Genomic DNA, 14,041 nt, shown 5'->3' on the forward strand with positions numbered 1-14,041 from the left:
TTTGACCTCCTGGTCTCAAACAATCCTGCCCTCCCAGCCTCCTGAGTAGCAGGGACCACAGGTGCATGCCACCACACCTGGCTAATTTTGTACTTTTTGTAGAGACAAAACATAGTAGACACTATGTTGCCCAGGCTGGTCTCAAACTCCTAACCTCAAGTGGTCCTCCCACCTTGGCCCCCCAAAGTGCTGGGAGTGCAGGTGTGACCCACCACACCCGGCGGAAAGTCTTGAATAATCATTTCACAAGAGAGGATATCCACGTGGCACTATATATATGAAAAGGTGCTAATGCAAATTAAAATCCCAGCAAGCTAGCACTACACACCCACCAGATAAGTTACAATGAAAGAGGCTGACTATGCCCAGTGTTGAGGAGGACGTAGAGCACTAAGGATTCTCCCAGGAGGAGGATAAGATGGTGTTGTCACTTTGGAGAACTGTTTGATCCAGGAAAGCTGAACCTATGCATATGCTATGACCCAGCAGTTCCACCCCTGGGCACAGACCCTACTGAAATGCATACGATAGATTGACGTAAAGATGTTACTTAATCCGTCAGCACATCCATCACTCATTCCACAAGTACTTATCAAGAACCTCCTATGTGCCAATCACTGTCCTGAGAGCTCAGGACACACATGATAAAAGAGACTAAAGTGCTGGGAGATTGCATTCTGGAGGAAGAGAGACGTAAAGACAAAATAAGGACAGCGGATGTGTGCCCAATAGGTATATAAGCTGTGGAGCACACTGGAGCAGTGAGTGGGGAGAGGGGGTGGGCCAGACTAGGGGTTCTGGGCTGGGGCTATAATGGGGTGCTCACTAAGGAGACAGTATCTGGGTACCTGAGCAGCTTGTGAGAGGCCAGAGGGAGTGGACTGTGGGCAAGTCTGGAGGAGGAGAGTCCAGGCAGATGGAAGAGCATGAGCTAAGGCCCTAGGGCAGATGTTGGAGGAATAGCCAAGAGGTCAGTGTGGCTGGGGGTCTTGAGCAGAAGGGGAGGCAGAAGCAGTAGAGAGGGGAGGGGGCCTTCAGGAGAGCCAAAAGAAAGGCAGGGTCTGGCTCGGCGCGGTGGCTCACACCTGTAATCCCAGCACTTTGGGAGGCCGAGGCAGGCGGATCACAAAGTCAGAAGATCAGACCATCCGGGCTGACATGGTGAAACCCCGTCTCTACTAAAAATACAAAAATTAGCTGGGTGTGGTGGTGCATGCCTATAGTCCCTGCTACTCAGGAGGCTGAGGCAGGAGAATCACTTGAACCCGGGAGGCAGAGGTTGCAGTGAGCCAAGATCGCGCCACTGCACTCCAGCCTGGCGACAGAGCAAGACTCAGAAAAAAGAAAGAAAAAGAAAAAGAAAGAAAGGCAGAGTCTACCTCCCCACAGATAGGAGCTGATGGAGGCAGGGCTGGCTCTAACCCCTCTGTGTGTCCCCAGCACAAACCAGGCACTTCACAGCTTCTCAAAAATGCAGCAAATCAAGCCAGCCCCATGGGGACAGGACCTGGGCTGCCTGGTCTTCCACTGTGTCCATCAAGTGTCTAGACCATGTCCTGACAACATTTCTTATCTGACCAGCTCCTTCCCTGGGGCCTTGGCAGTGACCACCTGGGCAGGCAAGCATCTCATGCCACCGTGTGCAGGAGACCTGCAGCCCACACATACAGGCCCCAGAGGCTGCAGCACCACAGATGGGAGGTGTGCCAAGGCCACCAGGCGAGGTACTAACAGCATCCCATAGGCAGAGCTGCCCTCCATGCTGTGGACCACTCCACAGCCCCACAAAAATCCCAGGCCTCAGCAGACAGCCTCCTGGTCATATTACAAGCAGCCTAAATAAGAAACCTTTAATAAAAAGGAAACACATACAACCCCATTTATATAGCGTGTAAAATAGATTAAAATAATTTTAAATGCATGAATAACTCACAGACTGTTTAAAAAAAAAATCACAAGCAGCACTTTGTGGTGAAGACATCCAGAAACAGAGGCTTGTCCTGCAGACAAGGGACCCCAGAAGAGAGGGGCCAGGACATAGATGGTGAGAGGTGAAGCCAGCTGGACTTCCTGGGTCGAGTGGGGACTTGGAGAACTTTTCTGTCTTACAAGAGGATTGCAAAATGCACCAATCAGCACTCTGTAAAAACGCACCAATCAGCGCTCTGTAGCTAGCAAGAGGATTGTAAAATGTACCAATCAGCACTCTGTAAAATGCAGCAATCAGCACTCTGTAAAATGCACCAATCAGCAGGATCCTAAAAGTAGCCTCCCTAAAAGGGAGGATTGAAAAAGGGCATTCTGATAGGACAGAAACGGAACATGGGCGGGGACAAATAAGGGAATAAAAGCTGGCCACCTCCCAGCCAGCAGCGGCAACCTGCTCTGGTCCTGCTCCGTGCTGTGGAAGCTTTATTCTTTTGCTCTTCACAATAACCCTTGCTACTGCTGCTCTTTGGATCCGTGCCATCTTTAAGAGCTGTAATACTCACCGTGAAGGTGTGCGGCTTCATTCGTGAAGTCAGCCATACCACAAACCCACTGGAAGGAACCAGCTCCAGACACAATGGGACCCCTACGATGTAGTCCTGAAGGCTGGCCTTTCCAGGAGTGGGACACTGAGCCTGGCTTATACCCAGGTACTACATAGAAGAGCAAGGTATATAGCGCCATGAGCATCCAGCCTGAGTCCTCCCTTCCATTTTCCGTGCTGTCCACCAGCTCAGACACACGGGCAGAGATGGTGGCCCTGAGGTTTGGGCATAGGCACGGAAATGGTGCTTTGGGTCTCACCCACTCCCCCTTGGCTTCCGTCTCATTTAGGAAACAACTCTAAGGGCTAGCGCTGCCCACTTGCTGCAGCTGTCTTGTGACCGCCCCTCTTGAATCACACACCTCGTGTGATGGGGAACTTACCCCCTGACAGACATCTCTGGCAGCTGACGCTAGGAGAAAGCTTTTCTTTGCCGGCACCAGCTTCCCTAGGAGAACAGCCCCAGAGGTTGTTTCCCAGAACTCCATGGGGGGACTGTCCCCAGCCTACCCTTGCTCCTCTCATGGGACCTGGGACCTCTCCTGAAGCCTACCTTGGTCCTCCTACCAGGACGCACGCTTTCCTCCTCGATCAAATGAGCTGCTCCTCTTCTCTGTGAGTCCCCAACCCTGTTCCTTGCCCATGCCTAATCACAGACATCAAGTCCCAGCTGCCTGGAGGGCAGCCAGCAGGGAACTGCCAGCGGCTGGCACCACTTCCCACCTCTACTCCCCAGGGTCCTTCCCACCTGCCACAGCTCAGGCCTCACATTAATGCTCCTCCAGCTCAGCAGCAGCAACTGAGCGCTCCTCAGGATGCACCTGAATCCCACCTCTGTCCACCTCTGCCACATCTGATCCAGCCCCATCATTTCTCATCTGGATGGTGGCAGTAATTCCCACGGCTCCCTGCCTAGACCCTCCTCCCACCCCCAGACACAGCAAGAGGAACCCTCAAACCTCCGTCAGACCCCCTCTCCAAGGAAAAGCTAGGCCCAAGCCTGCCCCACAAACTCTTGCCGCACTGGCCGGGCCCTTGTGCCTGCTGTGCTCCTCCCCTCCCACTTCTCGCTTGCTCCCGTGTCACCACCACCTCCGTGGGGCCTGTCGGATTGTGCACCCATTCCTCTTCCTTGGTTTATTTTCACCAAAGCACTTCCATTTTGTGACCTATTACATCTTTACTTACTAATTTTGTTCACTGTCCCCACAACTAGATGTGGCTCCAAGGGTGGGGTCTTGTCTGTCCTGCTGTCAGCTGTGTCCTAGAATCATCAGATGCCCAGCTGTGTTCACTGAATGTACTAACAAGTGAAGAAAGCAGTCATCAGCTCAGAGTAAATGATGCAGAAGGTGAGGGAATGCATGCTCTCTGAGGGAATGGGCCAAGCCCAGAATCTTGTCCAAAGAAGGCACAATAACTTTTCAGTTGTGGTAAAATATGCATAACATAAAATTTACCATTGTGACTATTTTTAAGAGTTCAGTGGTTTTAAGTACAGTCACATTGTTGTGCAACCATCATCATCATCCATCTGTGTAACTCTTTCCATCTTGTAAAACTGAAAATCTGTCCCCCTTCAACACGAATTCCCCATTGCCCCTCCTCCAGCCCCAGAGTAGGCTCACTGTGCACTGGCTAGCAAATTGTCAGAGTCCAGTGAGAGAACACACAGGCACCCAACAGGTTACATGAAGCGGGTTTGTTCCTTACAGTAGGTAGCAAGGGACAATGGAAGCCTGGGATCCCCTGTCTTGTTCATTCATGTGTGCCCCACTTGCACCCCAGCTGAAGGGTCCTGGAAAGCAGGTCTTGGGCTGGGTTTTAGACCATGGAGCAAAGAGGCTTGCTGGCTAAACCATTGAAGGACATCCTGCTTCTATGGGGGGAACTGGAACAGAGCCAGGGCTGCCCCAGCCGTCCCTCTCTATGGGTGTCATATCCACAGCACATTCTACAGTTATTCTTGAGGACTACAGGTGAGTAAAGGGGGAGAAGCGAGATTGTCCAAAGCCACCTAAACCCTGGCACCCCCGTTCTACTTTCTGCCTCTATGACTTCGATGACTGTAGGGACTTCATATAACTGGAATCACACAGTATTTGCCCTTTGCTGACTGCCTTATTTCACTTAGCATAATGTCCTCAAGTTTCGTCCACGTTGTAGCATGGGTCAGAACTTCCTTCCTTTTTAAGTCTGAATAACATTCCATTGTGTGTACAGAGCACATTTTATTTCTCAATTCATCCGCTGATAGACACTCAAGATGCTTCCACCCTTTGGCTATTGTGAATCATGCTGCTACGAACATGGGTGTACAAATAAGGCACGAATAACTTCTTATTGTAAGATCAAATAAGTGAATGAGGAAATGAATACATGAATGAATGAACAAATAAATGATATGTAAAGGGCATCCACACTTGCGCTTCTCCCACAGCCCCACTCACTCCCTGACTATGATGCTGGTTTCTGCTGCTGCTGCCGCTGCCTCCTCCTCCTCCTCCTCCTCTTTCTCCGGCCTTGCGCATCCCCCATCAGCAAGAGCACAGGAGCTCCATGTGGACTGGGCCTCCAAGAACCCGCTGAGCTGCCCAGCGGGGCCCCTTCACAATGAAGCACGCTGTCCCTTCTTTAGAAGGGATTCTGCTTTCTTATGTTCACAGGATGTCCAAGGTCTCCTTGAAGATCAGGAAATGCAGGCAGCCATCCCAGCCTCTGAATAGCTGCTGCCAGCATTACACAGACCGGGCATCAGACGGTGTGCGATCCTCCTTGCTTTCTCCTCCTTTCTTTCCCTCTTCCTTCCTCCTCCTCCTCCCTGTTACACACCAGGGAGGCTGCTGCATGATTGACGCAAAGCCAGTGGCTGCTTGAAGGGGAACGTGAGGATTCCAGAAGCTCTGAGCTGGGCAGGGTCCTCTGAAAGTCTCTACTCTTAGCTGGTCTTAAACCTCGCTTTGCAGCTATCCTGTTGTTCAGATAAAAGCCTACCCAGAGCCACAACAGTTCGGAGACATGAGGGGAGCTGCTTTCATGGTTTCCCCTCCCCACAGTGGCCCTCTATGGAGCTTGCCCATCCACTCATGTTACACAGAACAAGACCAACACCACACAGCTGACAAAGGGTGTGGGGTCCAGCAAATCAACCCAGGGGCAGCTGGAGCTTGACCTTGCAGGGGAACTCTGGGAGCCAGTGTGGACAGCACCCCTTAGCATCATCTATCTGGGGGTGAGGCGGGTGTCTATCCACAAACTCCCGCCCACCCCTGGTTGAGGACCACTTTCAAGGGTGGAAGGGGTGAATTTCTTGGCACTTTCAGGCTGCTGCAAGGGCAGGCTTTGGTGGCAGCCGAAGTCCTGAGCCAACTCAAAGCCAGAGCTTATAGCTGAAAGAACTGGGCCATCACTCATTCATTCATTCGTTCATTCATTCACTGCAGGGCCTGACGGGTTTGACTGAGAGCTGCTGAAGCATCAGTGTAGGAATGACATAGCCTGACCTATGAGACCCTGAGGAGCCCCAAGAGTGGAGCACCCCTAGGGTGACACCCATGCTGCCAAGGGACTGTCAATCACCCTGCCCCTGCCCCTGCCTCAGTTTACCACCAGCAGGCAGGGGAGGAGAGGGCATTGCATTCCACTGGCTGTGACAGGGAAGGCTAAGCTAACTATTGTCATATGAGATCTTCACACATGGGTCATAACCAGACAGTGAGAGTTTGGCCGGGACCTCCCAGTGTGTAAGTGTCAGGGCAGCAGGACATTCATTCATCTGGTCCACAGATCTTTGCTGTGCACTTGCCACATCCCAGCACTGTCCAGGAACTGGGGTGCACGACAGGCAGGGTCTCTGCCCTTCCGGAGCAGACATGCTGGTGGGAGAGATGGGCAGCTCCCGAGGACTGCCCTCGTGTAAGTGCCATGAAGACAATGGAAGGGAATTATGCCAGACCCTCAGGGACCCCAGCACAAACTTGCCTCCAAAGCCCAGGCTCTCTCCTTGACAATAGTCCATCATCAGCCCACAAGGAGAAAGGAGCAGCAAAGGCCTGCAGAGAGCCAGCCCTGTCCCCTTGCCCAGAACAGGGGTGCCCCCTGCAGTTCTGTGAGCTGCTCCATCCTAGCAGCTCCCATCAGCTCCAGGGACAGTACGCGAACACCAAGTTATACCCTCACATTTATTCCAAAAATCTTTTGGGAGGAAATCCCACTCATTGCATGTCCAGGCACCTAATGAGGACATGAGATCATGTTATCAGTTCCTATTTTAAAGAGGGGGATACTGAGGCACAGAGAAGACAGGTAACTTGCCGAAGATCACACAGCTAACAAATGATGAAGCCCTGGGTCTTAACTACAGTGCTAGGCTGCCCCATGGCTCAGCTGTGCTTGTATTCGGGGCCTTCACTGATTGAACTCAGAACAGCTGTATTCTGGAATGAATTGCAACGCAGTTCAGCCAGCTAAGCCTTCTCTGGGAATCTTCTCAGGGCTGAAGGTACAGGACTAGCTCATCAAGTTACTTTGGGCTGAATTACACCCCAGCTCTGCTTGCCATTCACTAGGTGTGAGACCCTTTTCTAAGCCTCAGTTTTCTCATCTGAGAAACAGATTTCACCCTCTCTATCTCAAGAGGTTTTTAGGATTAACCACACTGGGATTAGCCACGGCCATGCCCAACATCAATGCTTCCAAAATGGTGGAGATGGGGGTGGAGAGGCCCCATCCTGGGCCTGGCACACATAGCTGGTCCCCAGTGCAAGCTGGCTTCTATCCCTGCCTCTGCTTGGAGAGGGCCTGGGCTCCCTTCAGGCTCCAGGGCTGGGAAACGATGCCACTTGGTGCTCCTGCACCACATCCCCACATGGACCCCTGGACCATTCCCAAATCCTGACTGCAGGACCAGCCCAAACCCCTCCAGACCTTCCCCCCGCCCACACTCAGCCACCAGCCACCATTCAGACAGGAGGAGGGACTCCTACAGATACCCCTGGGGGAAAAAAAAGAACCACTCAGCCAGCATCCTCCTGACTCTGAGGTTGGGGGGCGGGAGCGGTGTCGGAGCATTTGCAGAGTAAGTTCTTTAAAGTGCAGGGGAATGCTAGGTGGACAGGAGCTGTGAGAGACCTTGCCCCAAAGATAGATCCCAGGTAGATACAGAAGGCATTGTGAGTGGTGGTGAGTGCCAGAGCGCACTGCAGTGTGAGTCAGGGTCAGAGCAGCCCTCTTCTGCGAAACGACCCTTTGGAGCCCAGGACGGAAGAAGGAGACAGTCCCTGGCAACCGGGAGCACAGGGAAGAGCATTGCAGACTGAGGAACAGCATGTGCGAGTGCCCTGGGGAAGGAGGGAGTTGGCTCATTCGAAAAGCAGAAACACAAGGAGGAAGTTTTCTGTCACTTTCCATTTTCTCCACTACCAGGCAGGGAACTCGCCCGTTTCTGTGCTCAAGGTCACATGGTGGTCTGCGGGACAGCTGGGCTGCCTTCCTTCAGTAACTCTTTCCTCACCCCAACTTTTCCACCTTCTTCTCCTATCTGCTCTTTCCCTTTCCTTTCTCCAGCCTGTCTCTCCATTTCTTCCCCTCCCTTTCCGCCGTTTCTGTGCCTCCCCACCCCCACTCTCTCACACACACTTCCCTGTTTCCCCTTTTCTCTCTCTTAGACACTGCCGCTGTCTTCCACCTCTGTCTCTCCTTTCTGCATTTCTTACCCCGTGTCTCGGTCCCAGCTCCCTCGGGGTCGAGTCCCTCTGCGTGTCCTCCCCTACCTCGGCCTCCACCTGCCCCTTGCACGGGCGGCGCCGCCTGCCATGCGCAGCACGAGCCTCGCTAATGCGTTTCGCATGGCGCGTCAGTCAAACGCCCTTCTAATGTCCTTAAAGCACGCAGAAAATTGCATCCTTATGAAAAAGGAGAAAAAAAGCAAATTGCCTGGTGGAAGCGGAGCTGCCGCGGGGGCTGGGGCGGCAGCGCGTGCGGGCGGAGTTGCGTTCGGCAGGGCGGACTTGGGGCGGCTGTCAGGGGCTCTCCCGGGCCAAGGCGCAAGAGCAAGACGCTGCCTCCTCCCAGCGCTTCCAAGTGGCGCCTGGGCCCACATCCTTGCCTGCTCTCTCCCACTCTTCCACCTCTCCTTGCTCGTTCCGGACACCCTGGCCTCCCACTGCACCACCTCCCTCCGCTAGGCTCATAACCGCCTCCGGACCTTGCACTTGGTTTCGCTCATCCCCAGGCGCTTTTCACAACACAGACCCTTCCTCCTGGTCACTCAGGTCTCCACTGAAGGGTCACTTCCTGAGACCAATCTTCCCAGACCACCCTGACTAAAGCCCCCACCCCACTCATCTTCTATCACCTGCTGCATTTTCCACATGACAACGACCACTCTCTGAAATCATCTTGTGGATTTAATTGTGGCTTCTTCACCGTCTGTCCACCCCTCCCCAGCACAGTGTCTGGCACGCAGAGGGCATGTTGAACAAATTGGTGAACAAATGAGTGAGACTTATTCCAGGCAGGCAGGGGCTTTGGAGACTCTAAGGCATGTGGGGCACTCCAAGCTGGACCTTGAGGCTGCTGAGTGAGGGGCAGTGGAGACTAACCAAGCTGAAATCAGATCCAGTTCGTTGCTAATGACTTTGTGTTCCTGGGCAAGTTGCCTAACATCTGTGAGCTTTATCTTCTGGAAAATGGGAGCAGGAGCACCTAGCTTACTGGGGTGTCCCTGGATCGATAAAGTAATTCAGAAGAAATGGGGGGGGGGTTCTGTCCCTAGCGCTAGGAATTGTCTGCCATACTCAATAAGTGCTTGTTAAAGGAATGAAGGGCTGACATAAGAGCTTGATACATATCAGCCAGTCCATGCTGCCACTGATGTCAGATGCACGATTATTTCCTGAAGCATTGAGAAAGAAACGTTGTTTAAATATTGCGAATGAAGCCATAACCCATTGCTCTCATATCACCTGGAATTTTTATTTTATACTTACTCAAATATCTCTTTTAGGCTTATTAGCACATAGATTTAAAAAAAAAAAAACCACAGATCACTATTGAGTTTACATCAAAACGGCAACTATCAGCGCAATCAATCATCAGTGGAGGTATTCCTAAAACTTCTTTGAGAAGCCTTCTTTGAGAGAGGTCAGAGGCACCTCTCTCAATGGACACCCTCTAAGCTGCTCTTCCCCTGTGAATTTCTATGCCTTGCTGAAGAACCACCCCCCACCCCGCCCCGCCCCAAGCTTCTCCTCCCCTGTGAATTCCTTGGCCTAGCTGAAGGACTCCCCTCTGTGGTCTTCCCCTCCAGTGTTGGTGCCTGAGAGGCCAGGGGCCACCACTGTTCACTGGAATGGCTAAATAACCTCGGCAGTACACCCATGGGAGTGGGCGGGAGGTCACATGGAGCATCCATGACACCCACAGCCTCTGGGACCCTCGTCCCCATCTCAACTGTCATGGAACCCAGATTTCAGAAATGGGAAGATGCTGTCTTAAAGTCGAGACCTAGGGACACTACTGTGTAAGAGCTAAGACAAATTGAACTTCTGAAGTCACACCAGTGAGGGTCCCCCTTCCAAAGTCAGAGAGATCCCAAGAGGAAAGGCCCTTCCCTGGAGGGGCCTCTGACAGTCCTGGGGCAGGAAGTTATGAGTGGCCCGGGGGACCAGAATAGAGGTAGAGAGCTGAGCCAGAGTCAGCACCTGCTGGCCCCTCGGCTGCCATTACCTTCCTGCCCCGCCCAGCGGAGCGAGGAGTCCCAGCTCCCTTACCTCCCTACAGTGGGGTTGGGGAGGTGGCATTTGAGAAGTTTTCCTTCAGCTCGGAGATCTGGCCCCGGGCTGAGCTGGGAGGGAGGGTGGGGGCTGTAGGTGGGACCGCTGGGGAACCCAGCCTGAACAGAGGGGACAGAGGTTCCCAGCATCAGCTAGTCTCCTCCGTGGACACAGGAACCCAAAGTGGGCTCAGGGGATGTCCTTTGCGTTCCTTCTCCGGTACTGTCATTTCTAGGGCAGAGGCTCCCTGACCTGTAGAAAGGAAATCAGGCAGGGGAGCAACTGAAAACAAAGGCGGTACCAGGTTTCTGCTCGGACCCTGGAGCTCCAGGGAGATGGGGAGAGATGGCCGAGTGAAGGTGCTCACTCGGGGTTGAGAGGACCACATTTTGGCCACTCCTAGCTGGCCCTGCTCGGTTTCCCTGTAGGCACAGTAAGACAGTGCCCTCCAGCTCCAGGGGACAAAAACTTCAGATTCTGCTGTTGTCGACTTGGGCTGGGACCCGCGCTTCTTCTTTTTTTTTTTTCTTTCTTAGTCCCCACAAGTGACCCTCTAGGGGAATCCAGAACAGGGAAGGGAGCAAGCCAGAGGAACTTTTTTTTTTTTTAGGTGAAAAGCCAGGGGGAGGGATGGGGCGCCCCCGCTCGCGACTACGCCTGCGACTGTCCTCGCGCTGCGGGGGCTGTGCGTGGAGCCCGCGGTAAGCTGGAATATCCAAGCCAGCTGCAAGTGGCCTTCCGTTCCCCACACGCCTCCTGCGTGCTGGGCCCAGCTGGGCGCCGCCCAAATCTTCTCTCTCCCGAGACTCTCCAGCTCCCCTTCTACTGACCAGGAGAACGTCTTGCTCCGGCCAGGATCACACCAGTGGAGAAGCGACCCCCTCCCCCATCCCGGGCCGGGGCCCTTCTGACAAGCCTCCCCAAGGACTCCCTCATTCCCCAGGCCACCTTGAACAAAGCACACTGAGCGCAAACTTCGCGCCTCTGGGGGAACGCTGCGGCCAGGCTAATCCCAGCCCTCTCTCCTCCCCCAGCCCTTCGCGTCCCCAGGGTCCAGGCGGTCGCAGGCGCTCCCCACTCCCGCAGGGCCACAGCTCTCGCGAGACTCCTGAGCCCTCTCCCTCCCCTGGCTGCGGCCCCCGGGCTCCGGGAAGCTCAGCCACCTGGGCCCACGCCATATCTGGGTTTTTTTCCCAGGACTTTGGGGATGAGAAGAGACTTGTGCATAGAGCGGAAGAGGAATGGGATCCAAGGGACCTTTCCTTCAAGTCCCGGGCCTGAAATGAAGGATGCGACTGCTGCCTGCAGGCAGAGAGACAACCTCAGCGCTCGGTGGCTGGGGCGCAGTGGCACGCAGGGCGGGCGCCAGGTAGCTCCGGTCGGGCACGCGCAGTCCGACAGACTGTGTCACCTTGGAAGACAGGATGCGGCCCTTTACCTAGAGTGGCAGCTTTGTGGGCTAGGTCAGCACGGGGTCTCCGGGCCGGCGGGCAATCGTCTGCCTCTGCGCCTTAGCTCCCTGGAGCGGGCCTGGAGCTTCCGTTGGGTCTCAAGGGTTCCACCAAGCAAGGAAGCCCTGAGCTGCCCAAACACAATGGCGTGCAGCCCTCTCCTCTTCCCCAGTCTCGGGGACTCGGTCTGCCTCTGCGTTCCCTGTCCCGGCAAGGAGCACAGAGGTGAAGGCAGTGACAACAACTCCACCCCTCCCGCACTGCAGGGCCTGGAATCTGGTCTCCCTCATTTGAGGCCCAACTTCCCCACTGACCCACAGGTGACCCCCGGACCGGAGTTCCCGCATCAAGTTCCCCTCTGTGCCGGGAGGTGGCTGTTCTCGCTGAAATATTGGGGCCCTTGTGCTCTGACTCCGGATTGGCCAGACCCCCTCCCCAACCCCTCAGAGCCCTGGTCCTACAAAGACCACTAGGTCCAGAACAGCAAGGCACCTTGGGAAAATGCCAAAGATTCGCAAGGCAGCTAATCTGCTGAAGGTTGCCTTCCTCGGATTTAGTAAAACCGGAGAGCCCTGAACTAACTGTGACTGATGCTGGTCAGATCCCCCTCCTTTCCCCTCTTGACTGGTGTAGGTGCATTCTACCTTCTTTCACAACTCTGTATGGTAGAGACATAGCTGGAAACCAGGTCCCTCAGGCCTCCCTTTCCACAGAAGTCAGACCTTCACTTCCTGTCCTTTCAAATGGAGAGGATTAAATGCAGTCACGTAAGTCACTTGGCTGCTGGGACCAGCGCAGGAAAGTTACTGTAGGGTCACTAGGTTGAAAGACGTAGGAGTAACCCCAAGGCTGGAAGGGATTAAGGGCCGCAGTCACAGACTGATGATTCATTCATTCCAGGCGGTCAAGGTTGGGTAGGTTTTCTGGCTCCTCAGGAAAAGCAGGCGAGTAGTCTGGGAGCTGTTTGCAAGGCTGAATTAAGAACTCAGAGTGAGCAAGAGCTGGTTTACCACACCTGGCAGGACTGGGGTGAGGAAAGTGGCTGCAGCCTTCGGAAAGTGCTTGCTGTCTCCCTCTCCTCTCCCCACGCCGCCCTCCCCCCGCCACCCCCCCGCCCACCCCTCATTCCTTCCGCCTTGAGGTACCGGCAGGGGAAGTGCAAGCTCAGGTTCTGGGAAGAGCCTATCAAGCCAAGATCTGAAAGGAAAGGTGTTGCCACAATAGGTGGGGGCCAGAAGAAGTCACTTTCACATTCTGAAACACAAAGCCTGCAGCTGAGTTGTTTGTTTGTTTGTTCCTGAATCTCTTTTGTTGTTGTTGTTGTTGTTATTGTTGTACCTAAATCTCTTTTCCTGTTTGAGTCTGGAAGGACCTGGCTTCAGGAACTCTGAATGGCCAAGTTTCATAGTCTTCCTGAGCTTTAACCAGTAAAGTGGTCATCGCTCCATCCCCACCTCTGGTCATCCTCCCCACCCCCAGCTTCAGGAAGCACAAGGACAGGAACCCACAGGCAGCCCTGAGCCCAGCCTAGACTGCGGGAAGGCAACTGAGACCTCCATGAGAAGGGGGCACCTGAGAGCACATGCAACCAAGCTGTGTCCCTGCAAGGGACCACCCTCCCTAGGCCGGTGTCAGCTGAGTCCTCTCTCTCCGTCGGCCAGGTGCCCTCACTGCCCAGAGGTGGAACTCAGCAGCCCAGGCGCCGCCGCCCTGAGTATCCTGCGGAAAATGTGAGAACTCTGGGGAGCCATTGCTGCTGCAAGGACCCGCGGGCGGGCTACCGCGCTGGTGGGGGGGCTCTGTCCAAACCTTGCGTCCTCGACTTCCCATCCGCCTCATAAAGGGTTGGTGAAGACCATCTCAAGGACCGCACGAACTGGTCCTTCAAGTCCCAGGAAACCGAAACAACAACCGAGGCGGCTCTCTGTCCGGGCCACTTCCGGAGCGAGCTCTGCGGCGGACCTCTGGCTCCCGCTCCTTTGGGCACCCGCGGTGCGGCCAGACCGCTCCTGCCAGCGACTCTCTGGCTGGCAAGGGAGAGGAGGTGGAGTTCAGACTGGCCCCTCACGCCCAGAGTGGAAGCGATTCCTAGGATCCTGCAGCCACCGAGCCGCCCGCCGTGCCTAGCCCGGGCTTGATGGTGAAGAGCACAGCTGCCTTCGACAGAGCCGGAGGAAAGGAAGTTTAAGAAGCAACTGCCCGCGTTCCGCTTATCTTGCCGAGCCCACCCCCACCCCCACCCTCACCCCCTGCGGATTCAGAAGCTGCTCCACCGAGCCCGA

The 14,041-nt window shown here is 54.5% G+C and overlaps 2 annotated features.

The window, feature by feature from the left end:
- Window positions 10,524-11,451: an enhancer, noted in NCBI's record as "H3K4me1 hESC enhancer chr9:96710391-96711318 (GRCh37/hg19 assembly coordinates)". NCBI's record gives its function as "activates a minimal SCP1, AML or CMV promoter by ChIP-STARR-seq in primed H9 embryonic stem cells {active_cell/tissue: H9 hESC(primed)}" and the evidence as "EXISTENCE:reporter gene assay evidence [ECO:0000049][PMID:30033119]".
- Window positions 11,452-12,377: an enhancer, noted in NCBI's record as "H3K4me1 hESC enhancer chr9:96711319-96712244 (GRCh37/hg19 assembly coordinates)". NCBI's record gives its function as "activates a minimal SCP1, AML or CMV promoter by ChIP-STARR-seq in naive H9 embryonic stem cells {active_cell/tissue: H9 hESC(naive)}" and the evidence as "EXISTENCE:reporter gene assay evidence [ECO:0000049][PMID:30033119]".

The sequence above is a fragment of the Homo sapiens genome, chromosome 9 (genome assembly GCF_000001405.40).
Source record: "Homo sapiens chromosome 9, GRCh38.p14 Primary Assembly".
NCBI classification, from domain to species: domain Eukaryota; kingdom Metazoa; phylum Chordata; class Mammalia; order Primates; family Hominidae; genus Homo; species Homo sapiens.